Source organism: Homo sapiens, chromosome 3 (assembly GCF_000001405.40).
Source record: "Homo sapiens chromosome 3, GRCh38.p14 Primary Assembly".
Classification (NCBI taxonomy): domain Eukaryota; kingdom Metazoa; phylum Chordata; class Mammalia; order Primates; family Hominidae; genus Homo; species Homo sapiens.
The window spans coordinates 168,901,146-168,926,322 of NC_000003.12; the positions used below are offsets into that span (position 1 = coordinate 168,901,146).

Sequence of the window (25,177 nt, forward strand, 5' to 3'; positions counted from 1 at the left end):
TTCTGCTATGTATTAACCAATGCCTTTGGGCAAGTTAAAAAAAAAAAGTCTCTCTAACTCTTTTTTTCCTACTTGCTGGAATATAAAAATTTCTCTAATGTTTATTCTGCTAGCTGGAATTTTAAAAATTACTCTAGTTTGCTTCTGCTAGTTGGAATAGAAATAATTTGATTGGAAGTCAGATAGTCTAGATTTGACTCTTAGTTCTTATCCTTATAGGCTGTTTAAGTTTGAGCAAGACTTTAGACTCAGAGCTTCAATTTTCTCAAGAGTAAAATAAGAATACTGCTACCCACATCACAGGAGTATTTTTTAGTATTAAATGAGATAATCCATGTGGAAAATATTATTATGTAAAAATACTATAAACTTCAGGTCATAAATGGCAGGCTGTTGGCCAAATGTAGCCACAAATATGTTTGAATTGGCTGTCATAGTTTTGGCTTTTAGCAGCGCTGTAAAACAATTTTAATTAGTGGTCAACTTTCAAAGATTTGTTAATTTCACATAAAATATGAACTTTTGAGTTTTCCTTAAAAAGTCATATTAGCTGGCAGTATTGGGTTTGCGTTCTTCATAGCAAAAGCAACAAAATGCAAGTCTGATTCTCACCTTGGAGGGGCTTTGCACTCCCATCGGTTGCACTTCTCATCATTCAATTATCTTTTCCGTGACACTGAAGAAAGAGAGGCTCCGTTTTCCTTGTCTGGTTAGTTTCGTTCACTTGTGTCCTTTTTTTTTTTTTTTTTTTTTTTTTTGAGACGGAGTCTCTCTCTGTCGACAGGCTGGAGTGCAGTGGTACCATCATGGCTCACTGCAACCTCCGCCTCCCGGGTTCAAGTGATTCTCCTGCCTCAGCTTCCGGATTCTCCTGCCTCAGCCTCTGGATTCTCCTGCCTCAGCCTCTGGAATAGCTGGTACTACAGGCGCCCGCCACCATGCCCAACTAATTTTTGTATTTTTAGTAGAGATGGGGTTTCACCATGTTGGCCAGGATGGTCTTGATCTCTTGACCTTGTGATCCACCTGTCCTGGCCTCCCAAAGTGCTGGGATTACAGGCATGAGCCACCACCCCCAGGCCACTTGTGTCTTAATTCCTCTTGATAGTGCATTTTAGTTTGTGTCACCCACCTCTGTAAGTTGAAATACTTTTACCATTTCAGTAACTTGAAAACAAACTGCTCATTTTTCTTCTTTATCAGTTATGAAACTAAATATATAAAATCTTATCCCTAGTCATCCAGGATTGACTGCTCCTTCTTCACAAGGGTCTCTGCAGGTCCCAGTATACCAAACACACAGTATTAATCAATATTCATGGAGTGAATGAAAAAAATGAATGAATGAAAGTGATATATTTGCTACCTTACAGATAACATGTGAGTAGTTCTTTGTTTTAATTTTAACATTTATTAAGCTTTTGCTATCTAGATACAGTTACTGTATCTGAAGTAGAGAAAAATGTTGTTTTTCCGGCTGAGCACCATGGCTTACGCCTGTAATCCCAGCACTTTGGGAGGTCAAGGTGGGTGGATCACCTGAGGTCAGGAGTTTGAGACCAGCCTGACCAACAAGGTGAAACACTGTCTCTACTAAGAATACAAAAATTAGCCAGGTGTGGTGGCATGCACCTGTAGTACCAGCTACTCAGGAGGCTGAGGCAGGAGAATTGCTTGAACCTGGGAGGCAGAGGTTGCAGTGAGCCAAGATCATACCACTGCATTCCAGCCTAGGTGACAGAGCAAGACTCCTTTAAAAAAAAAAAGAGAAAGAGAGAAAGAACGGAAGGAAGGAAGGAAGAAAGAAAGGAAGAGAAAAGTGTTGTGTTATTTTATTTTTACAAAATTTTATTACAGGTTGTCCCCAGATAAGACATGGCCTCAATTATCAGCTAAAATGTACTTGTAAAAATGGTGGCCTTTGCAATTCTGCAGATAGAAGGTCTATCTGTGGCCTTGGGTGGACAGGAAATTATTGTGAAAAAAGCAAGTTGATTCACTGCCTTTTTTCCCTCAATAAAGATCTACTTTAGGCCGGACGCAGTGGCTCACACCTGTAATCCCAGCACTTTGGAAGATTGAGGTGGGCAGATCATGAGGTCAAGAGATCGAGACCAACCTGGCCAATATGGTGAAACCTCGTCTCTACTAAAAATACAAAAATTAGCTGGGCATGGTGGCGGGCGCCTGTAGTCCCAGCTATTCTGGAGGCTGAGGCAGGAGAATTGCTTGAACCCTGGAGGCGGAGGTTGCCGTGAGCTAACATTGCGCCCCTACACTCCAGCCTGCCAACAGAGCAAGACTCCGTCTCAAAAATAAAAAAAGGATCTACTTTTGAGAATACTGTCATTGGTTGATAAAATACAGCAGAAACTTGTGAAGAAGCTATTTTCCAGTAAGCTAATTCAAGTTGTTTAGAACTATAATTGAATATCCAATAAAATTGTTATGTAAATATGATTGATATTGTTACTGAAATATCACATGAAAACTCCTAAACTCCTTAAGTAATTGAAATAGTATTAATGTGAAAGAGCTCCTCTGAGACCTAAACTTAACTCCCCTACCAGCCACTTTTTAAGCCTAAAGAAAGGCTTTGTGGACACCAAATCTACTAAGTCTTGAGTTTCTAGGCATGAAGCTGAAGAATCTCCACCACCTCTGAGGCTTTCAGGCAGGCAAGGCGGAGGATACAGGGCTCTGGGAGAAGCCAGATCACATGAATAAGAATAGGCACAGCTGCAAAGAGGGAAGAGGACCACCCAAAAGTCTCCAAAATTTGTTTCATCAGGAAAAATTTAATCAGTACAGTAGTCCCCCTTTGCCTGTGGTTTACCTGCGGTACAGTACAGTAAGATTTTTGTAAGATTGGCAGAACTCTAAGTACATTGATGTAATTTTTTTATTAGTTACTGTGAATGCCTTATTATGCCTAACTTATGAATTAAACTTTATTATTGTTATGCATGTATAGTGGAAAACGTAGTGTATATAGGGTTCAATGCTATCTGAGCTTTCAGACATCCACTGGGAGTCTTGGAATGTATTCTCCATGGATGGGGGGCCTGCTATACCACTATACATGCATTTTTATTTATAAATGACATTCTTGCACGTCTTGACTAATAAGTATATTATAAAATGTAGATAAATGCTTAAATTGATAAACATGGATAAAATGAATATTGATAGTTGTTCTAATGTTTGTTTTCCTGAACCACAATTTGTTATTTTGTACAACACTGGAAAGCACCAACTTTATTTAGAGCGCACTATTGTAGGAGACATTGTATTTTGGCAGATTACAGAGCAAAGGTTCTGGCAAAGTGTGGATGAGAACATTGTGCTGGAGGCCTAAACTTGAGGCACTCAGAGCAGAAAAAAATTCACAATGTACGTTTACCCAGATGGTTTCAACTGCGGGTGGTGTGACTCTTCCGACTTAGTGAAAATGAGTGTGATTATCTACTCTCCGTCACTACTCGTTCAACTGTCATGAAATTCAACAACATGTTATAGAAGAAACCACATTGCAATGGGCATGGATAAACATGAATGCTAACCCTAGCTCTGCTAATACCATGTGGTCTATCTTTGGGCAGTTCACATCCTCTTTCTGATTTAATTTTCCCATCTGAAAATGAGGGTATTGAGCTGAATAATACCTGACAGTCCTTCCAAATCTAAGATTCAAGGCCATTTTTCATGGGATTTTGAAAAGATGGATATCCTGCCTAATTCATGGGAGATGGCTCTTATCAGTTTTGTGATTTGAGATTACAAAATCAGCTTTTTAAAAACAGACAGTACTATCATGTCCATGCTCTTTTTGATTGTAAGTTGAGTAATTTTCTGGCATTTAGTATGTGGGATATTTTTACCATTGATTCTATCATTTAAAGTTTTTATTATGTAACATTTCAAACACATACAAGAGTTAAGAGAATGATATAACGGTATAATGAATCTCCATATATCTGTCATTCACCTTCAACAATAATCAATCAATTTATGATTAATCTTGTGTCATCTATACTTCCAGCCACTCCCTCACTCTGTACCTCTATGGTATTATTTAGAAGCAGATCATGGTCATATTAATATTCTTTTCTAAGCTTTTGGTATTATAAATTTTGTATCAATAAATAGTTTTGTGCATATATTGTTTAATATTTTTGCCAAACCTCCAAGAGGTTTTAAGTCTTCCATATTGGACTTACATATTCTGTATTGTACTTGATTGGCCACCTAAGGAAATGTTTCAAAGGTTAAATTTTACAGACTTCAAAACCTAACTTCCTTGTAAGATATTTACCTACTGTATGTGCATCATATTCTTTTAATCTCTTTCTTCCTTCTTCTCTTCCTTCTTCCTTTCTCTCACACCCATCTCTGTCATTTACTCCCAGGACTTCAAATATCAAAAATTATATGATATCACCTTCCACAGATACTGTCTTATTTATTTAAATAATTTAATTTAAAAATCATTCTCACTAAATTTAGCCTGGATTTGAACACATTGCTTCTTTATGTCTTTAAGGTATTGAAGGATTTTTTTTCTTTATTTTTTTCTGTTTTTTCTTTGTTTTTTTTGTTTCATTTTTTTATTTTTTGAGATGGAGTCTCACTCTGTCACATGTCACCCAGGCTGGGGTGCAGTGGCACAATCTTGGCTCACTGCAACCTCTGCCTCTCGGGTTCAAGCGATTCTCCTGTCTCAGCCTCCTGAGTAGGTGGGATTACAGACATGCATCACCACGCCCAGCTAATTTTTGTATTTTTAGTAGAGATGGGGTTTCACCATGTTGGTCAGGCTAGTCTCAAACTCCTGACCTCGTGATCCACCTTCCCTGGCCTCCCAAAGTCCTGGGATTACAGGCGTGAGCCACTGCGCCCAGCCGGTATTGAAGGATTTTAGGAAAGGCTTTGGCCAAATGTTTATGTGCACATCATAGGACATAAGCATGATCTACTTAAAGCTATTTCAATTTCCTCATTCACTTTTCTAGACTAATTATAGAAACTGGCACCTATATATTCACTTATTTGTATGATCAAACTATTGTCAATGTGCTTCTCCATACAATTTTTTCTTTCTTTCCAATTCGCTCATCTCTTTATTTGGTATTGGGAAACAAATGAATTGAACATATTCTAATTTTCCTTTCATTTACTTTTAATGTAAATAAAATTCTAATTTGCCTTTTATTTATTTTTAAAGTAATAGTATTTTGACATTTCCATTTCCCAGTGTACCCTCCGGGATTTTATGGCTTGAATTGTGCTCACATCTGTGACTGCAAAAAATGGAGCTAGTTGTAATGCAGCAAGTGAACAGTGCATTTGCCCAGCAGGTGTCCATGGCAGCCAATGTGAAAAAAGTATTGCCAGAGCATTTTTAAGGACACAAGTGCGAGAATTCTGTGTGACTATGAGATCTTCTCATCTGGTGACAAACATGTAAAAGAAACTGAAAATATGCAATAATTACTTAAACATTCGACCTGCACATTAAAGTGGTAGAAATTCACTCAACGGCCAATATAATGAGTCCTTCTGATTTTGTGGCTGATTGGTCAAAATTTTATTTTCCTTTATATAAAGTTGTGAGATATTTCAAAACACCAGTAAAACTGTTAGTCTTTGTTGGACGAGGATTCTACCTCTGAATGAGAATAAATATTTCATTAAATGCTTTTAACGAATGTGACCTATGTATTGGGTTCAATGGCATTAAAAGAGATACAAGAAATTTATGAAAATATTTAAAGATGTGAATTAGGCATTTACCACTACAAAGTAATCATGGCCATGAGTGGAGATAAAGATATAAAGGTGAGAATTTGGGCTACTCAGTTTGAAACAAAATATTATAAAGCCCTAAAAGCCACTAACTCAGTAAACAACACAAAGTCCTGTTATGGCCTATATTATGTATAGTCTTTTGTCTATAGTTACAACAATCATGATCATTATAATTATAGTATGATGATAATGGTAGTCAAAGTTATTGTCTGTGGCCTTTAAAAAGGATTTATATGTTAGCTCATACTATGTTCTCAGTTGTCACTATAAAGAAAAATATCAATATTTTTCTGGCTGCAGTGGCGCGATCATAAATAAGACATAAAGAAGCAATGTGTTCAAATCCAGGCTAAATTTAGTGACAATGATTTTTAAATTAAATTATTTAAATAAATAAGAGAGTATCTGTGGAAGGTGATATCATATAGTTTTTGATATTTGAAGTCCTGGGAGTAAATGACAGAGATGGTGTGAGAGAAAGGAAGGAGGAAGAGAAGAAGGAAGAAAGAGGGCAAAAGAATATGATGCATATATGGTAGGTAAATATCTTGTAAGGAAGTTAGGTTTTAAAGTCTGTGAAATCTAATCTTTGAAACATTTCCTTAGGTGGCCAATCAAGTACAATACAGAATTGTCTCTTAGTAAGTCCAATATGGAGGACTTAAACCTCTTGGAGATTTTACCTCCAAGACTGGAGAAGATCAATATTTTTCTGGCTGAACATCAGAAGAAGTAATTGGTTATAAATTAAAATCAGATTCTGGAGTGCTCAGGAGAGATACTGACTCACATCTCTTTTTGTACATCCTTCATTATTCATGTATTATTTAGTGATTCAATAAAATGTCACCCATTATGTATCTGTGGTAGCAATAAGAACAAATTCCAACCTGACTCTAGTATACTATCACATGACAAGCAGCAGGCCCTGAGTTAAATTCTGGAAATACAGTGGAAAACATGGAGTTTATTGTCTTCTAGAGAGATGAATAATAAAAACACTTTAAGGGGAAATATTAAAAATAAGACGCTTGGCTTGTAGACTTGGTTTCCTTCCTAAAGCTCCTACCTTCAAAAATTTTATTTGCATTCTAAAGGATATATACTAGTGTTAAAGTAAATCAACTTTAAGACTTGCATGTCAAATCAGTTTAGAATGGACCTTCGTTCTGATATTCCAAAATTTTTCTCTCTTCTTTTGACCAGCAAATTCCAGTATCATCCCACTTTACTATTTGGAACTCAATCTTGAGGAAATTTTATATTTAACATTAAGATGCATTAATGAAAGTGCAAGGTGTTAATTTTTCAGCACTTCTCCTTTTTTGGTCAGTATTCACCTGGCATGTTTGGAGATGATTGCCATCAACTTTGTGACTGTGAAGGAGAAACCTTCTGCCACCCAAAAACTGAAAAATGCCTCTGCCCCCGTGGGAGAACTGGAGCCAGATGTGATGCTGGTAGGACCCAAAGCACGTCAGGACTCCCCCCTGACCCATCGTTATACAGAGATCTGTAGACATTTTCCTGCTAGAAGTGGTACTCTATTAAAGAGCATTGCCCAGAATTGCTTGATACTTTCCCCTTAGTAAGATGAGCAGGGTGTGTAGCTGTTACATCACAGGCAGCTCAAACAACGTTACAGCTGTCGGAGGACACGTGTTAAGTACTTAAAGGGACACAGTTAAATGCCCCATCACAAAGGTGATTCATAGAAATCACTGAGAATTAAGGCAATTAAGGTGTGGTCCAGATAGTATTCTTGAGACCCAAGCTTCCAGCTACTCTTTGGGAATTGAAATGTGTATTTCGTTTTTCTTTTCACTCAGAGAAATAATGACCTAAAATATAAAGTTCTAATTCTTCAGGGACTGTCTTAAGAAGAAGAGAGAGTAGATTGAGTAATTTTGAACTAATCACTTGCTACTAGACTTAATGGATGCTTATCAGATGAAGAGTTTTATATAATTCACAATAGACCTGAAGGACTGACCCTGCCACAGATATTACCCAAAATAGAGGGTTTAATCTCAGAGTTTACTTTTCTCATCTGCAACAGAGAAGGCTTGAAGCTTCATTGCTAAAAGAAGGGTTATTTCTAAATAAAGTCATGGCCTACACAGATGTCCTACAAGGTATTTTATTTTCATTTTTATTTTCAATTAAACACGGTTCATCTGTGATATTAAGTGTGAACAGCTGTGTCTATGCAGGCACCATAAAGATAAAAGATCTCATTTTAACTTGAACTCTGGTAAAGGTGCTATTAAACAGCCATAATATTAATTCATAAAAGAATATAACAACCTTTTATTGCATTATTCTCCCACCCCATTGGTAAATTAACATTTGCAGACATTCAAACAGATGTCTTAAATATACATCATTATTAACATGAAAATGTGGTATTTTTATAAATTAAACTCAGATTCTGGAGTGCTCGGGAGAGATCCTGACTCACAACTCTTTTTCTAATAAGAACACTCAATCTTGCCACCAAACTAAGTAATCCTCCCACACACTGGGCAGGGGTGTCTGGGTTGAACTTCATTTGAAATGACATAGGATTTTTTAAAATTTTTCACAAAGTTTCATGGTTTAAAGATTCAGAGCAGCATTTGCACTGCCTCCAAAGCTTCTTCTTAAAGGAAACTGTTGCTCTGTCATTTAGGAAGGGATTGAATTACTGTTTGCTAATGTTGAACCCTTGTAAAAATAATTAATTGCAAAATTGGTTTATGTTTCTATTTGCCTTATATTTATAATCTAATTAGTTAATTAAGGCAAGAGAGCTAGGCCACATCTTAACCTATGTTCATAATGCAAAATAATAAAAAAATATACATCCAACTGCTCATCTCTAACCCAGCATAAAGGATAGTGAGTCAATAAAGAAGTTTTTAACAAAAATTTGCCCAAAGTTTCAGAATTTGCCCCAGAGCCTATATCTTCATATTCACTGACATTTCCCAAATTCTCACTTTCCTGCTTTTTACTTTTTTATTAGGGCTTTCTTCTGCATATGTTTAATACCTTGCATCCACTCGTATAGTAGTGTAAAATGGGGAAAGAGCACTAGGTAAGAATTCTAAAACCCAGCTCTGCTGTTTATCAGAGATATATTATAGTAATTGAGAAGATCTTTTAAGCCATACCAAACCAAGGTTTATTTCTCTGTGGAATGCAAGAGCCTAACTCACTGCCTTGCCCACCTCACAGGTGTTAGAACCAACAGAAATACTGTATTAGAGACCCACTTTGTAAACTCCACAAGGGTAGGTGACTGTTATGATTGCACAGTTGAGTTTCTCTGATCCTTAAACATTGATAAACTGAGTTTCTTCCCAGTCCTGCCTGACCGAGTAGGAAATATGAATCTATTTTCTGTTTCCGTGAGCTGGGCTGGGCTTTCTCCTTATCCTCATAATTCTTCAGAAACAGAACTTGTTAATTCTCTACTGGAAATCAGGCTAAGAGCAAACACCCAGGCCGGGCCTTTTTGGTCAACATTTGGTTAAGCTAACACTTTCTATAATCTTCCATCATTTCTCTTTCTGTTGCAAGCACAGTGTAATTCAATTTAAAGATAGAGTCCTGTAGGACATAGATCAGGGGATCTATGGACCTTCTGACATATTTTAAGAAATGAAACAGTTGAAATTAAAGTCATTTCATTTTCAATAACATAAGCACAAATAATTGTGTTTTCATCCTAAAGGTTAGTCTCCTGTATTGGGCGTTCAGCATGGATGTTGCCTTTTTCTGACCTCAAGACAACTATCCAACTTTCCCTGTGTCCTTCACGATGCAACCACTAAAGCTCTACTGAAGTCTCTAATTCTGAGAAGGCACCTTAAAAATGTAAGTTGCTGTCCTGACTTCTCTTTTCAGTGTTGTCACTAACTTCCTTGACACTCCCACCCTTCTCCTGTTTTCCATTGATGTTCTTACTTTTATCACATAGCATTCTAGCATGGGAAGATATCCCATGGTAAAAAAGAATATTTCACAAGCGTATAATTATCTTATTGAATGCCAAGAAGTAATAGTAAGAACACTGTGTGTTTGAAAAGCATATCTGAATTGCTTTTACTTTAATTTTCTCCCTCATAGAATGCAGGCCAGGCCTGTATGGACCAAACTGTGCTCTCCAGTGTCAGTGTGGTTACATAGCTCACTGCAGCCCTCTCAATGGGAGCTGCACCTGCCTTTTTAAGACAGTGGACCCAACCTGTGAGGAAAGTGGTTCAGATGATCCTCAATATCCAAATACTAACAGCTTTTCAATTGGTGAATAGAATTTTGCAGACTTTCATCCACGGTTTATCATTTTAACTTTGACAGAGAAATGTACTTACTCAGCCATCTTCAGCCCATCCCGACCTGTTGTGGGGTAAATAACAGGATGTCTCAACTTTGTCATCTCCAAGCACAAGTCTCATTCTCTAGCCTAGCCTTCCCAGTGGTTTTTTTGCTGAAGAATATAGCCAATAATAAGAGAATGTTATTTCAGGATCCCAATCTTAGTAATGTTTGGACTAATAAGTGGACCTTTTTTATATGCACAGAAGGTATTTAAATTTGGATGGAAGAACTGCTTTTCAGTTCAGGTTGGACTACACTGAAATATTCACACCTATTCACTGAAGACTTCAGTGGCCATGAAATAGCTGGATCCTCTTTAGAAATATCTAGAATTTCATCTATTTATTCTCAGTATCCTTCTTCATAACAAACTCTGCTCTGGATTGCTAATGTATTGTTTTTCAAACATGACTTTGGTGTGGGAGACTATAAAGACTTTAGCCACCTAATGACGTGCACTTTCATAGTGAAACATCAAAATGTTTAGTGTGTTTTCTCCGTCACTGGCCAGCAGAAAGGAAAAAACTGGGTAGCAGTGACCGAGGCCAGGGCTTAGCCTACTCTGGGGGACACAAATTTCCTATAAATCAGGACCTACTTGTAATCAGTCTTTTAATTCACAGTGGTAATCTTGATTCAAATTGTTCATCATTTAGGACAACTATATAGCCATTTATGAACCTAAGATGAGTACTGTGATAAGCCAAGAAAGATACAGCAATAAATACTATTTTATTTTTGCTCTCAAGTAGTTTATAAGCACTTAAATTTTTCAGACCACTGGTTAATTCACATCAGCAAACAAAACTTTCTTGATTGGAAATGTTGTTTCTCATGTTACCCATGCTTTATTGGGATAAAAATAGAGAATATTACAATTATATGACTGAATATTTGATTTATACAAGATGTATGAGTGGCTTTTAAATCAAAACAGATTTAGGATAGAATTGACTGAAGGATTTATAAAAATACTTTTATCAATTCAGTACAGTTTCTCATCTTAATGATTATCTTTCTAAATCTCAGCACTTTTAACAGAGCAGAGATATAGCTACCTATAATGACCAGCCATGTCAAGCTTAATGTTATTAAATGATATAAGGGAGTTAATGAGATCACTTTCCAAAAAATGTTGTACTTTTTATTTTATTTTTTATTTATTTTATTTTATTTTTTTTTTTTGAGACGGAAGCTCACTCTGTCGCCCAGGCTGGAGTGCAGTGGCGGGATCTCGGGATCTCGGCTCACTGCGAGCTCCGCCTCCCCGGTTAACGCCATTCTCCTGCCTCAGCCTCCCAAGTAGCTGGGACTACAGGCACGTGCCACCATGTTCGCCTAATTTTTTGTATTTTTAGTAGAGATGGGGTTTCACCTTGTTAGCCAGGATGGGCTCAGTCTCCTGACCTCGTGATCCACCCGCCTCGGCCTCCCAAAGTGCTGGGATTACAGGTGTGAGCCACCGCGCCCGGCGTATACTTTTTATTTTCTTAGGGATAGAGTCTCCCTTTGTTGCCCAGACTTGGGTGCAGTGGCATGATCCTAGCTCACTGCAACCTCAGACTCTTGGGCACAAGGAATCCTCCCACCTCAGCCCCCTCAAGTAGCTGGAACTACAGACATGCACTACCATGCCCATCTGATTTTAAAAAATTTGTAGAAACGAAGGTCTCACTATGTCACCCAGGCTGGCCTTGAACTCCAGGCCTCAAATTATCCTCCTGCCTCAACCTTCCAAAGCACTGAGATTACACATGTGAGCCACCACTCCTGGCTTCTCCAAGAGATTATTAATTTAGTTTAGTCTTAAATGAGATAAAATAAATTACCTTTTTTCTCCAGTATTTGGAATTAAAGATTTACATTTCAGTGCATTTTAACCATTTAAATCAGTCATTAATAATCTGTTATTTCAAATCAGCTGAAAACTATTCTTTATTCTGAACGTTTGCCCATTTTCTTTACCTGCTATTGTTGTAGTTTCTCTCAACTATCACCATCTAACCTTCAAAGAGAATAAAGTAAATAAAAGCAGCATTCTCTCTTGGGCTGCCAGCCCCCTCTGGATTTTCTTTATTTCATGACTGTTAAAAAATTATGGCTACAAACAGGGAAAAGAGAAAGAAATCAGGCTTTTCTTCCTCAGTAGAGACCGTATTTCTATTCAGGCAGATGAGAAAAATCTAGATTTGATAGGAATAAAAATAAGGGATTTATTTTGACTATTCTTTTTGATTTTATATTACTTAACTTTTTATAAGTGAGAAACCATATGTAAAATGTTAAACAAGTTTCTTGGCAAATGGCAGATGTTTCATATATTATCTCCTTTCATCCCCTTTCCACCCAACACTAAAACAAATTGTAGGACCGGGAAAGCAAAGTCAGAGCATGAACCTGTATTTGTGCCATCCCAGGACCCTTTAGACAAATTGAATTTTCATTCTTATACCAGTCAGCATGAACAAGTGCAATTTACTGTAGCCCCTTTTCTGTATAAAAATTTTTATAAGTTGTCTTTCATATTAAAAAATAAAAATGAGAAAATGTTTAAAATCTAGAATATTTCCATTGTACTTTTGGTTATCTTGAAAAATCTTGATAAGCAATGCAGAGTGATCTCTCCTAAAAATACCTCAGTTCTGCTTAAGAACACTAGCAGATATCCTGAATATTATTATATGCAATATTTCATGCATAAACCAACATATAATAAACATTAATCTTAATTCTACAGCTGGAAAATTATGAAATATAGTTTCCTTGAAAATTTATATAATAGAATTTAAAATTTTATTTTTTGTAACTGCCACATTGAAACTGCTTCAAATTAAGAAAACAGTGTACAAAGACCTCACCTTTTTTAAACAAATAAATAAAGGTTGCTGTTCACTTTGGCAGTACATAAGCATTTACCTGAGGTTTTTACATGTAAACCACTATTCAGGTACAGTGAAGTATGATTTGGCTGCCGAGAAATAATTTGCACAAAATGTTAAAGAATCCAACTATTAAGTGAAGTATAATCTAATAGGCATGTCCTCTTTAAGCTAAAGTTTAATGTAAAATTGGAATCCTTGTCATTGGATACAAATATTTTATATATTACTCCTCTACTTTTTCTCCCTGTTTAATCTGTCCTTTAAATGTAAAAATGCTGATCTCCAAAGGAAATGTATCCACTCATAATATTTAACCGATCTAGAAAGGCGCATGTGCTATGATGTTTTAGCCTCTTTCATTTGAAATACAAGATCAGAGTGGGGATTATTATGCTTTTCTGCAATAATATAGCTCAAGTTTAAAGAAAAGTGAGCAGATGTGTGGAAGTATGCTGGCTAATTTGGAGTCTCAATTCAACATGCCTGGGATAAACTATTTCACTATGACACCTAACTTTCCCCTACTCTTTCTAACTTCTACATTCGTTTATTGAGTTTTCCAGATGAGACAGCTACTTGACACAGGTTAAATTACTTTCAGAGAACTTGGAAATCATTCCAAGAGTTAGTGGCAAGAATGGCATTTCCTTTGTTAGAAATAGCAAAGAGGGTTTGGCCTCTCCTGGGCCTCTTTCACCTTGGTTTCTCTAGGACCTGGTAATACAGATGTAGCAAGAATTTAAAAGAGCATTTGATGAAGTGAACAAATAATAGCAACTGTCTACACTCTAGGAGTTATGTATGCAATTCAGTTGAAATAACTTTTCTTAGGTCTGTAATAGAAAAAAAACAAAAAAGTAGCTGAGCTTTTAAAATAGATTTAAAAGACATTCCAAAGCTTTGTCTCTTTTAGCTAATTATGTGAAGACTATTTTCCACTTTTCCTGCTTATATTTTACTTTTTCTAAATAAAAAAACTTAAATATAAATAAAGTCTAAGATATGCATTTAAAAGTGATAGATGCCTCTTTTATGTTCTTCCAAATATTTACAGAGTTTTATCTCTAAATCTTATATCAGGATTACATGAAACACCATTTAATAATTCTTCATTTTAATGTTTGTGTGCTAACAGCTCTAATTTTGAAGAATATTAATTCAAATAACATATATTAACAAATTAGGTGTTTTTCTTCCAACAGAAGTCTTAAAATATATAAAATGTTTTAATATTAATGCCTCCACTTAAAAAAGATATAAGAAAATGTATTAAATATAATTTTTTTGCCAAGACTTCATGAGAAAAATTCAGCAATAGTTCAACAGACAAAACGATTCAGAACTGGATGTTTAGTGCTTAAGTGTTGACAATATTGGTCTCTTGAAACATAGAGTATTGGCTTGTGAATAAAATTCCATATGTGAGATTTGGATGAATTTGGGAGAGAGCATTCAACATGTGTTTGATGAATAGTGGAACCCGTGATGGATTAGATATCTAAATGGTCAATTGGTAATATTTCAAATAGTTTATTAATTGAAAAATGCCTTCATTCATGTCAATTTTCAACCATTGTCTACAAAGAAATTTTCTGCATTTTAACTCTACCTTGAATTCACTAAATAATTTTAAAATTTGTAGTGCCTACTATACTAGGTACTGTTTTAGGCATGAAAAAAGTAGTAGTGAACAAGAAGGATGTGTTCTCTGCCCTCATAAACTTCCAGTCAAGAGACTATGATAGCCAACAAGGGCAATGTTTTTAAATATCTCTAGCTGTGCAGTCAGTTTTATAGTTCATCAATCCTTTTATAGTTCATTAATCCTTTCCTAAGTGTATTTCTCACAAATTTGTTAATTCTCCAATGTTAATGCACATTTCGATAAATCAAATATATTTTACCTAACCTTAAATTCATGTAGCAGGTTTTACTCTTAGTGCTGTGATAGGAATTAAATTAAAAAAAAAACTCATGAAATACCATTTCACATTTATAGAAAGCTGTATTATTCTTTGCAATGTAAAAGGAAAGTTCACTTTCAAAGCTGTTGTTGAAGCCCTACTGTTATGAGGATTTACGTAGTGGAAGTAGAGAAAAAGAAAATATTCCTCATGTTCTGACAACTGTTGCATCCTTTTCAGCATCCATTATGCCTTCTCTTTTAATGGAGATGAATGTTTCCTAATGATAGAGGAGAGTTTTTAGGCATTTTTTGAAATCTGATTTTATTACTAGGCAAGTAATTCTGACAAACATTAACAAAATCTTGCCTCTTTAGTGGGGTTTCAAAACAAGATTAGATTTTTTAAAATTAAGGTAAAATGAACATAACATAAAAGATACCATCTTAACCATTTTTAAGTGTACAGTTCAGTGACATTAAGTGTATTACATTGTTGTGCTATATTCACCAAGGGTTATTTCTTTTAATACAGGAAAAACTTCTTGATGACATTTGAGTAACATGTAGGGTTCTCAGGCTGAAGTTGCTGGTCTACTTGAATAACATAGTTGTGTACTGCCTGCACTCCTGAAATTTTTCACACTAAAAATTTAATTATTTGAAAACATACTTTCTGTACATTTATTTTTATTTACTAGGCATTTTTGCAACAAAGACATGCTACACATTTAAGTAGAGTTATACTTTTACTGGGGACCAGAAGAGCAGTCATTTTTACTGAGCATATCGTAGTCGCAGCTCATAACTTTATCATGTTTTTGAACATACTAAAACATAAAACATCAGTACATCATTATGCTCTATGAAATAAAAATTGAATTAATAATTCTATTTTTAACAACCATCATGCATTTCCCAGATTTTTGCCATTTTCCTAAATATCTGCTCCCTGGGGTCCACTCTGGGCCTAAGGCAGTCATGGTACCAAGACCTTGAGGCCTCGAGCAGTGTTTCCTGATGAGTATTTGATGGAGTTACAAATTTACAAATTAATAGTATTCTGTAAAGTAGAACCAGGGAAAGGGGGTAGAATTGGTTGGATTTTATACTTGGTAACGCCATAACTAGGAAACTCTGGATTAAATAGAACTAAATAGTATACTTTATTGCAGTACTTGTTGGGAACCCAATATGTTGTGATTTGTGAATTTCTAGGAGGAAGACAGAGTACATAAAGAATTTCAAATAAAGAATTTCAAATTGTTTAGGCGTTCCTTTTTGTGAGGAATGTTTTGGAAAAACTAGTGTCTCAGGGAAAAGTTTTTGTGAAAAACAGAGATAAGTATCTACTTAAGTGAGCCCTCAGAAGCATCCTTGGTCTGGATGCCCTGATCACACATTTTCACGGTGTTTTTAGTCATTGCCTGAGAGAATTCTAAGGCCTATATTACTTTATAGTTTCCCATGAATCCTCTGTGAGCCAATACACATTTCTCAAAAGGGTCTTTGGAAATACAAATCAAAATGTTGATGAAACTTTTAGAGAACTTTGCCTTTCTTGCCTGTCCAATTAATATGAGAAATTAATTTTTAAAACATTAAGGACAATTAGGAAGATGTAAAATACATTGTGTTCTTTTAAAATTGAATTTTGTAAAAGTTATATAGGAATAAGTGTTGAAAAATAAAAGACCAAAATTTTGCTAACACCTGGGCATTTTATAGAAGCTTTACATACCCTATTTTGAATAACCCATGGGGTTTATATAAATGCATCAAAATTCCAAAGACAGAATATTGGGTAGCACATTGGATGAAATCCGTTTTGAGAATCACTAAATGGCTGCTGGCATGCCATGATTGAAGTGTGAGGATTCTAATAATGCTAGAGTTATCTAAGTATTTTGGCTACTGAATTTTATATTATTTATTAAATAAAATATTGAACATGAACAGACACACACATACACATAGACCTATCTATGAGTTTGGGAGTTTCTCTTAGGATTATATATTTAAGACATCTTCTGTTAAAATGACATTAACATTTCAAGTTTTTACAAATAGATATAGATATACTTTAGTAATGAGAAAAATCTTTCTCGCTTACAGATACCTGCAGTTCAACATGGTTTTTATAGACATCTATTTAAATTTTAAAATTGATAAATGAGGAAATAAACCTAATCTCAACTTGTCAGGCTAAAATACAGACTCTATTCATACTTTGGAATACTTATCCTAGCTATATTATGTGTTGGATAACCAAAGAAAACAAAGGGGCAACAATTATGGAGTAGAGAATCTTATATGCTTGCAATAAAAAAAGTGCAGAATTTAAAGAGACTTTAAAGCTTCCCCAGTCTTTTTGGTTCATAAGCAAGAAAACTGAGACTAATTGGGTCCTATAGTGAAAAAATCACAGAACCAAGACTTTCTCATCTCTTATCTCTGTTTTCTCATGTCTCTCAGCTTATGTCTTTTGATTATTCTTTTTGTTTTTTTTTTTTTTTAACTTTTGTTTTAGGTTCAAGGGTACATGTGTAGGTTTGCTACATGGGTAAACTCGTGTCACAGTGGTTTGTTGTACAGATTGTTTTCTCACCCAGGTACTAACCTGAGTACCCGACAGTTATTTTTTCTGTTCCTCTCCCTCCTCCCACCCTCCACCCTCCAGTAGGCCCCAGTCTCTTGTTCCCCTCTTTGTGTCCATGAGTTCTCATCATTTAGCTCCCACTTATGAAAAAAAGCCCAATATCACTGATCATTAGATAAATGCAAATCAAAACCACAGTGATATACCATCTCACACCAATCAGAATGGCTAGTATTGAAAAGTCAAAAAATAACAGATGCTGGCAAGATTGCAGAGAAAAGGGAACACTTATATACTGTTGGTTGTAGCGTAAATTAGTTCAAGCATTGTGGAAAGCAGTGTGGCAATTCCTCAAAGAGCTAAGAACTACCATTCGATCAGCAATGCCATTACTGAATATATACCCTAAGGGAGTATAAATCATTCTACCGTAAAGACACATGGATGCGTGTGTTTATTGCAGCACGATTCCCCTTTCTAAGATGTGAGACATTCTTTTGGCAAGGAGGGTCAGTGAATCTTACTTTACAGAAATCCCTTTGAATTCCAGCTTTAGTGTTACAGACCTTTCAAACTTGCGTTGTCACCATTTATATGATTCCACACTGTGTATGGAGAAGTAGTTAAATACAAATATAAGAAATTAAAGCCAATGAGAGATTCAAGGTCCTGTAATGATTTCATCATCATTTAAGGAAAGTAATTTAAATATTAATGGTTTTCATACCTTGTTTGGCATATGTTATTCAAACTTTATATTTTAAACACTATTTTGTCAACAGATTTTAAGAATATCTTCAGTTGACACAGCTTAACAATTTCTGTAATGAATGATAAACACAATTCTCAGAATTAATCCACACAAACATGGCTTTTTTTTTTTTTAAGTTCATTATGTAAGTGCCAAATAAACCTCTGAGAAGCATTATTGGTCAGTACCTCATTTGTAGCCATAAGGAACAGTTGCATTCACTTTATTTTTTTTGCTGTTCATTAGTTTAAGAACTCTTGTGATAAGAATCCCATATAATATTAATGAGTTTATTCCCCTTAAATTTGACTAACCAAGTTTGCTGGCTTATATTTTACTTAATCAAGACATATTCAAGGAAATTTAAGACAATTAAATAATGAATTAAATGAATAATCTGGATATGTGTCCTTCTAAAACAGTGTTTCTCAAACTTGATTGGGAGATAGAACATCTGAATATCATTATACTCAAGGTGGAACATGAATTATTAAGATATTTAATAATATATGAGCTGGAATAAATATTTCTTAGAGAAACTATATTATATGCATATTATATAAAAATCTAAAACATGCATATACAGGACCACAAAATTTTCTTAACTCTTCAGTTAGATACAATCACTTTTCTGAGAAATTTCATCAATTCATTGTATATTAATTGGACATTCACTTTGCCAGACTCAATAATTATTTGGGATCAATTGTTTTTTAAAGAAACTCTTATTGGTGAAAATGTTAAATAAGAAAATCTAATCAAATGCGAACTTGAAGAAACATTGGTCGTATTCAATTAAGCAATGGAACTCTTTTCCCAAGTTGCATAGTCTGAGGACTATTAAAGTCTGTATTAGTTTGTTGGTTGAAAGGTAAACATGGCATCTGTTTTTTGATCTATATACATACAAATTTTTAAAATAAACGAAAACTTTATGCAATAATGTACTTTTTAAAAATAAACGTGTGTTATATGTATGGCATTCATTTTAAATAGATGTTTTTATAATATGTTTTCTTTGTGATAATGTATGTGTTAAGAGTTATAACTGAGGCCGGGTGTGGTGGCTCACACCTGTAATCCCAGCACTTTGGGAGGCTGAGGCAGGCAGATTATGAGTCAGGAGACAGAGACCATCCTGGCCAACATGTTGAAACCCCATCTCTACTAAAAATACAAAAATTAGCTGAATGTGGTGGTGCATGCCTGTAATACCAGCTACTTGGGAGGCTGAGGCAGGAAAATCTCTTGAACCTGGGAGGTGGAGGTTGCAGTGAGCTGAGATCACACCACTGCGCTCCAGCCTGGCTGCAGAGCGAGACTCTGTTTCAAAAAAAAAAAAAAAAAAAAAAAAAACTTATAACTGAAACTTTACTATTGGGGTGAATCATCTACACTTGAGAAATCAATAGCCAGCTATTTACAAAGGCTAAATAAATCTGCTATTTATTAGATCCCCATCATTTGATTTGACAATATCAGTTCACTAGGTGACATCATGTTTTTCCACTCTAGTTACCTGAGAGAACCAGTTAGGACAAATTAATCTTATTGAGAGCTTTTTTTCTTTTTCCTTTGTCATCTTGGTCTATTCTGGCATGAATTTATTGGTATTTTTCTTTTTCTTTTGGATGTTTTATACTTTTTTTTCTTTTTTCTCTTTTTTCTTCTTCTTCTTTGTAAACCATAGGAATATTTTATATTTTCTAACTCACAGGGTTGGTACAAAAACCAAATTATTTGCTTGTGAGAGAATACTTCTTAAGCACTAAAGCAAGCTTGACCAACCCATGGCCCAGGACAGCTTTGAATGCAGCCCAACAAAAATCCATAAACCTTAAAACACTGAGATTTTTTGTGTGATTTTTTTTTTTTTTAGCTCATCAGCTATCATCAGTGTTAGTGTATTTTATATGTGGCCCAAGACAATTCTTCTTCTTTCAGGGTGGTCCAATTAACCCAAAAGATTGGACGCCCCTGCAATAAAGTATTGTATATGCTCATATTATTACCCTTTTGTTCATGATTTAATCAGGCAAAATGCAGTGAATCAATTGCCTCCAGTGTACAGATAAAGTTGTTTTCACAGATTTTTCCTCAAACTGATTATGCACATTTATCTTTGGGTGATAATAATAATTACATAATTGACTAATGACTTGTATAAATTTATTAGAATATACCAGACAGTATATAAGCATGTTTATAACATTTTGCTTAATCTTCACGGTAACTGTTTAGTAGATATGATTAACTGTCTGATTTTCCTTTTTAACAGTTGAATCTAATAACTTGCTTGGATCATATGGCTCCTAAGTGGAGCAGAACTCAGGTTTGCCTCATTCCAGAGGCCACGTTCTTGACTACAGCATGCATGCAATTATAAAACACTACCATCGAGGATGAAAATCTATACCCGTAAATTTTGGAAAGTAATAAAATTTTGATGAATCCAAGTCAGAATGAGTTCATACTCCAGTTGCTAATCAAGACACACACAGGTAGTCACATTTTCAACCACCTTTATTTTTGATGCATAAAAAAAAAAAACCTGTGAGTGCATTTTGTCTTTTGAGTGTTTTCTTTTGACATGTATATAAGCAGTGGTTAAACAAACAGTATCTCTGAAGGACCTTAACTTTAACCAAAAAACATTCACAGTAATTCCATCTATACCATGTTCTCTCCCAACCCCCAATCAAATTCTTAAAAATCAGAATGGAAAAAAAATTTTTTTCAGTTAAGCTGACTATAGTATTGCATACTTTTATTCTTAGCTTAATAACAATATTTTGAAATACATTTTGTCCCTAGTTACCAGTCCGGTTAACTTCAGACCTATGGTATAGACATTCTTTGCTAGTTTTCTTTTCACATTTTGTGGAATGTAATACTCCATTTCTCAGTATTCACAGTGATAGAGCTTACATTCTTCACTCAAAAACATTTAATAATGGCACTTCATAGCAAAAAATCTACCTTCTCTACCATTGTGTCTACACCTCTTCACTATGTGCCCTCAGCTACATAAGGAGAACTTGACCTAGTCCTGAAATCACCACACCTCCATACATTTTCTCTGCTTGCAATTCTCTATGTTTCCTGCATGGCAAATTTATTCTTCCTTAAAGGCTCCTTCAAAGAGTCTTACCTACCCCTCAAACCCCTACCCAAAATTATACAGAAAGTTTCTTTTAAGGCTTCTATAGCACAGGAGCTAGTATATAATGGGAGAAAAATAAATGATTTATAGAATTGTCGACTGCATTAAAAATGAATTAGAGACTGAGCTACCTGTCAGGAGGCCTCTTCTCTCTTACAAAATGTAAAAAGCTCCTTGTTTAAATTTCAAGTACCCACTCCCCTTGTGGCTATAATTGACTTGGACTAGCAATAGCCAAATGAACATATGTGAACAGTAGATGCCAAATAATGCAATTTTATTGAAATACGAATGTGGCTTTTTTGTTGGTGGGAGGATGTGCTGCTCTCCCACCATATATACTTGTTTCAAAAAATGCAGCATAAGGAAAAAACCAGATCCCATCTGCCAGGCCAAATAGCTATAAAGTAGAAAAATCAGGTTTTTAATGAATCCATTGAGAGTAACTTGAGTTATTTTTTAATGTAAGGGCAAATAAACTTTTGAGCAGAGTTACATAACCATGTAGTAGTCTTTTAATTTATAGCTAGGCCAAATTCAGATCCTGGTTTTAGCTAAATTAGAGTGCTCCCAAAAGACAGAATGATTAGATAATACAAGTAGGCTTTTGTTGGCCTCTTCTTCTAAAATATAGCTCACAGTCTAAGAAGACTAGAATTCAATTTTCAATTCAAGACAAGTAAACATGTCTGCATATATTCATAAGACTCACTGAACAACTGAACTTTGTTTTTTTATTTTCTTTAGCACATATCCACAATAAGAGTGTTGCTCTTTCATAGTCCAGTCGGAAGTAGTGTAGAATAAAGGCAGACACCTGTTCTTTCACCCGTTTTGGCCACATCTTCTAGCTCCATTTTAAGACTTCAATTTTGACAATTTTTTCTCTTAATCTACTAATAGAATCATTTGAAATATAACTCATCCATAGGAATTAGATGGTTAGCAAAGAAAGAGCCTCTATATTGATAAATAATTAATTATAATTGTGTTATGTAAAGGCCAAGATATTGCAGACAAACAGAGGTATTTAGGGCTTGTCACTGTTAATATTTGTTGTTCTCCTTGAGCATCATTATACTTCACAACGTTTTTCTTCACAACAGGAGGAAGAATTTCGCAGAAACATGACTTTGAATCCAACATACGTCCTGTACCAATTGAATGGTGCTGGCCACTAGTTTAACACATCTGTCTCAGGAAGGGAATAATGATGTTCTATCTACCTTATGGGTTAATGTGAACATTTTCATATTACGATTATTAAGCAGTACAGGTTGTTTGGCTAATTATATATGAATCAGGTGAAGGCATTTCGTAAATTATTTGCCTCAGTCTTGGACTTAGGAAACCTTAGCTTGCGTCCCAACTCTACCTCTGGGCAGTTTTGTGATCCAAGCACACTTAATCTTTTGAACTTCATTTATTCATCTGGACAGAGAGGGACAAAATTCCTCACTCAAAGTTACAGTGGTTTAAATGAAAACAAAAAGCCCATCATGTGGAACACATAGATGATAAATATAAGTTGAATCTGAACTATAGAATATAAGTTTTCCACCTGTTAATAGTAATACCATTAACAACAATAATAATGGCACACAGATTTCACAATCTTAATGTTGGGGCTCAGAACATAATAACCCAAAAGATGGCACCTTAGTGTACTATTTTAAGTTGAAGGAACTTGAAAAAAATCACAGAAGCAGGAGTCTCTGACCTCCCTCCCTTCTCCCCTGAAGACCCTAATGTGACAGGTGTTCTGCCCTGACTGTGAAGAGAAGAAGTGTCACACCTCTCAGAGAGGCTAAGACGAATCTGGACAGACAGTCCTTGCTATGTTTCTTCCAGTTTATTACCATTAGATCATACACTTTTGTCCTCCAATCATACTTCTTCTGCACAACTATTCATAAAATACAGAGTTTCCCTGTGTTTTTGGCTCTTCATTTCTGACAGCTTCTATGTCATGTAGAACTATGGTTAAATAAATTTGTTATGTTTTTCTTTTGTTAATCTGTTTTTCATTACAGGGGTCTCAGCTATGAGCCTTGTGATGGGTTGAAGAAAACATGTTACTTTACCTCCCCTTCATTGCTGAGTGCAGAAAGCTGGTCTAAGCACTGGATTTTACAGTTCTCCTGTCTATGGCATGTGTTTGTATTTCAGAAGTGAAGTAAAAGAAATCCACATTTTTAATATTATCAAGGAAACATACCCAAACAGCTGAATTATCCCTCTAGTATTTACACATTTGAGTAGAATAGGTTTTCTAAATATCTAAGTTGCCTAAAATTCTAAATATCTTTATGAAGTTCTTTTTGTTAGAAGATAATCGGTTATGGGTATTTGAAAGAAAAGTTTCTAGGACTTTTTGGTTGTTTCCTAAAAGTATGGTGTTACAAAAATGTTTGCTTCCTACTCACAGTCAGTGAGAGGTAAGGGTATCGCACTCATTGGGGATCACCCAAAGAATACCCTGGACCAGGGGACTTGGATGTTTAGGAAGATTGTTCAGAGAATGGTTTTGACCATTTCTGAGTGAGATAATATAGAGAATAATGGGGATGGAGGAAGGAACGGATAGCATGGGTTATGTCTGGGTGATTAGATGGATTGTCGGAATCAGAACCCATCTTATTCTCTGTAATTTGTCTGAAGCTCCCACGAGCCTCAAGTCAAGGGCCCTGCCCCACCACTTATTGTACATAATTAACACATTGTGGTAAATTAAACAAGTCACTATTTTCTGTCACTTCTGATTCTACTTAAATCAGAGACTTTATCACGAACAATTTGCCACTCTTTAGCATTGTTCTCAAGGGCAATTTGCCCCATTGATTCTTTGCACAGAAAGTCAGGACCTTCTGGCAATACAGGAAGAAGGTGGGAGTCAGGTGGGTTAAAAGTAGAGAAGAAAAGAAAAACCAACACCTTTGACCTGTAGAATGTGGGACAAATATGTTGGCAATGTATAATAGAATCCAAGGTTGAAAGGGATCTTTTAAAACAAACTGTTTTAGTTCTCACTCAGTGGAGCAATCATTTTTATTACCATATGTCTGATATCCACCCCACCTCTTCTTGAATGCCATCCACAATTCTTGAGTATCAGTCTGTTTCTTTGTTGCTAGAAATGTCTTTCTTAAGACAAGTGCTGTCGTTATAGAACCTCTAGTCTTGACAATCCTCTACTTGACAGTTCTAATAGTTGAAGGTAGCTTTCATGTTTCATTACTCTTTTTCTCTGAGTAAAAAAATCAGTGCTTTAATAGCTCTGATATTGTTAACCAACCTCCTCTGAAGATAAACAGTAAGTTCTTTTTGTAATTGCCAAAGCCATGGGGCTGTGGTTTAAAGTACATTATTATGGAAAATTTAATTTTTTAAATTATGTAAGTAATATATGTATTTTACGCCAAATCATTCATAATCCCACCCTGAAATAACCGCTGTTTACATTTTCATGTGCTTTTCTTTATGTATTTTATATCGTTTAGAAAAATAGGTTATATAAATAATTTTGAGTCCTGCTTTGTTTCCAATGTTATGGTTCCAACAATTTTCTGTGTCTTTAATGCTCTTTTAGAAGATGTCATCAGCAATTCATCCTAAATCCAGTATTCTTTTCTGATAATACCTTCTTCTTAACCTCTTCACCCTAAGTATCTGCAAAGATTCTTTTTAAAGTAGTTAGTCAACATCA

At 35.2% G+C, this 25,177-nt stretch overlaps 1 long non-coding RNA gene across 1 annotated transcript; it reads left to right on the forward strand.

The window, feature by feature from the left end:
* Positions 1 to 799: 799 nt before the first annotated feature.
* Positions 800 to 20,851, forward strand: LINC02082 (long intergenic non-protein coding RNA 2082). The gene is made up of 5 exons (NR_109989.1): positions 800 to 834; positions 2,221 to 2,395; positions 7,142 to 7,268; positions 9,527 to 9,669; positions 20,587 to 20,851. It is a non-coding gene; the product is annotated as a long intergenic non-protein coding RNA 2082 (long non-coding RNA).
* The last annotated feature ends 4,326 nt before the right edge of the window (positions 20,852 to 25,177 follow it).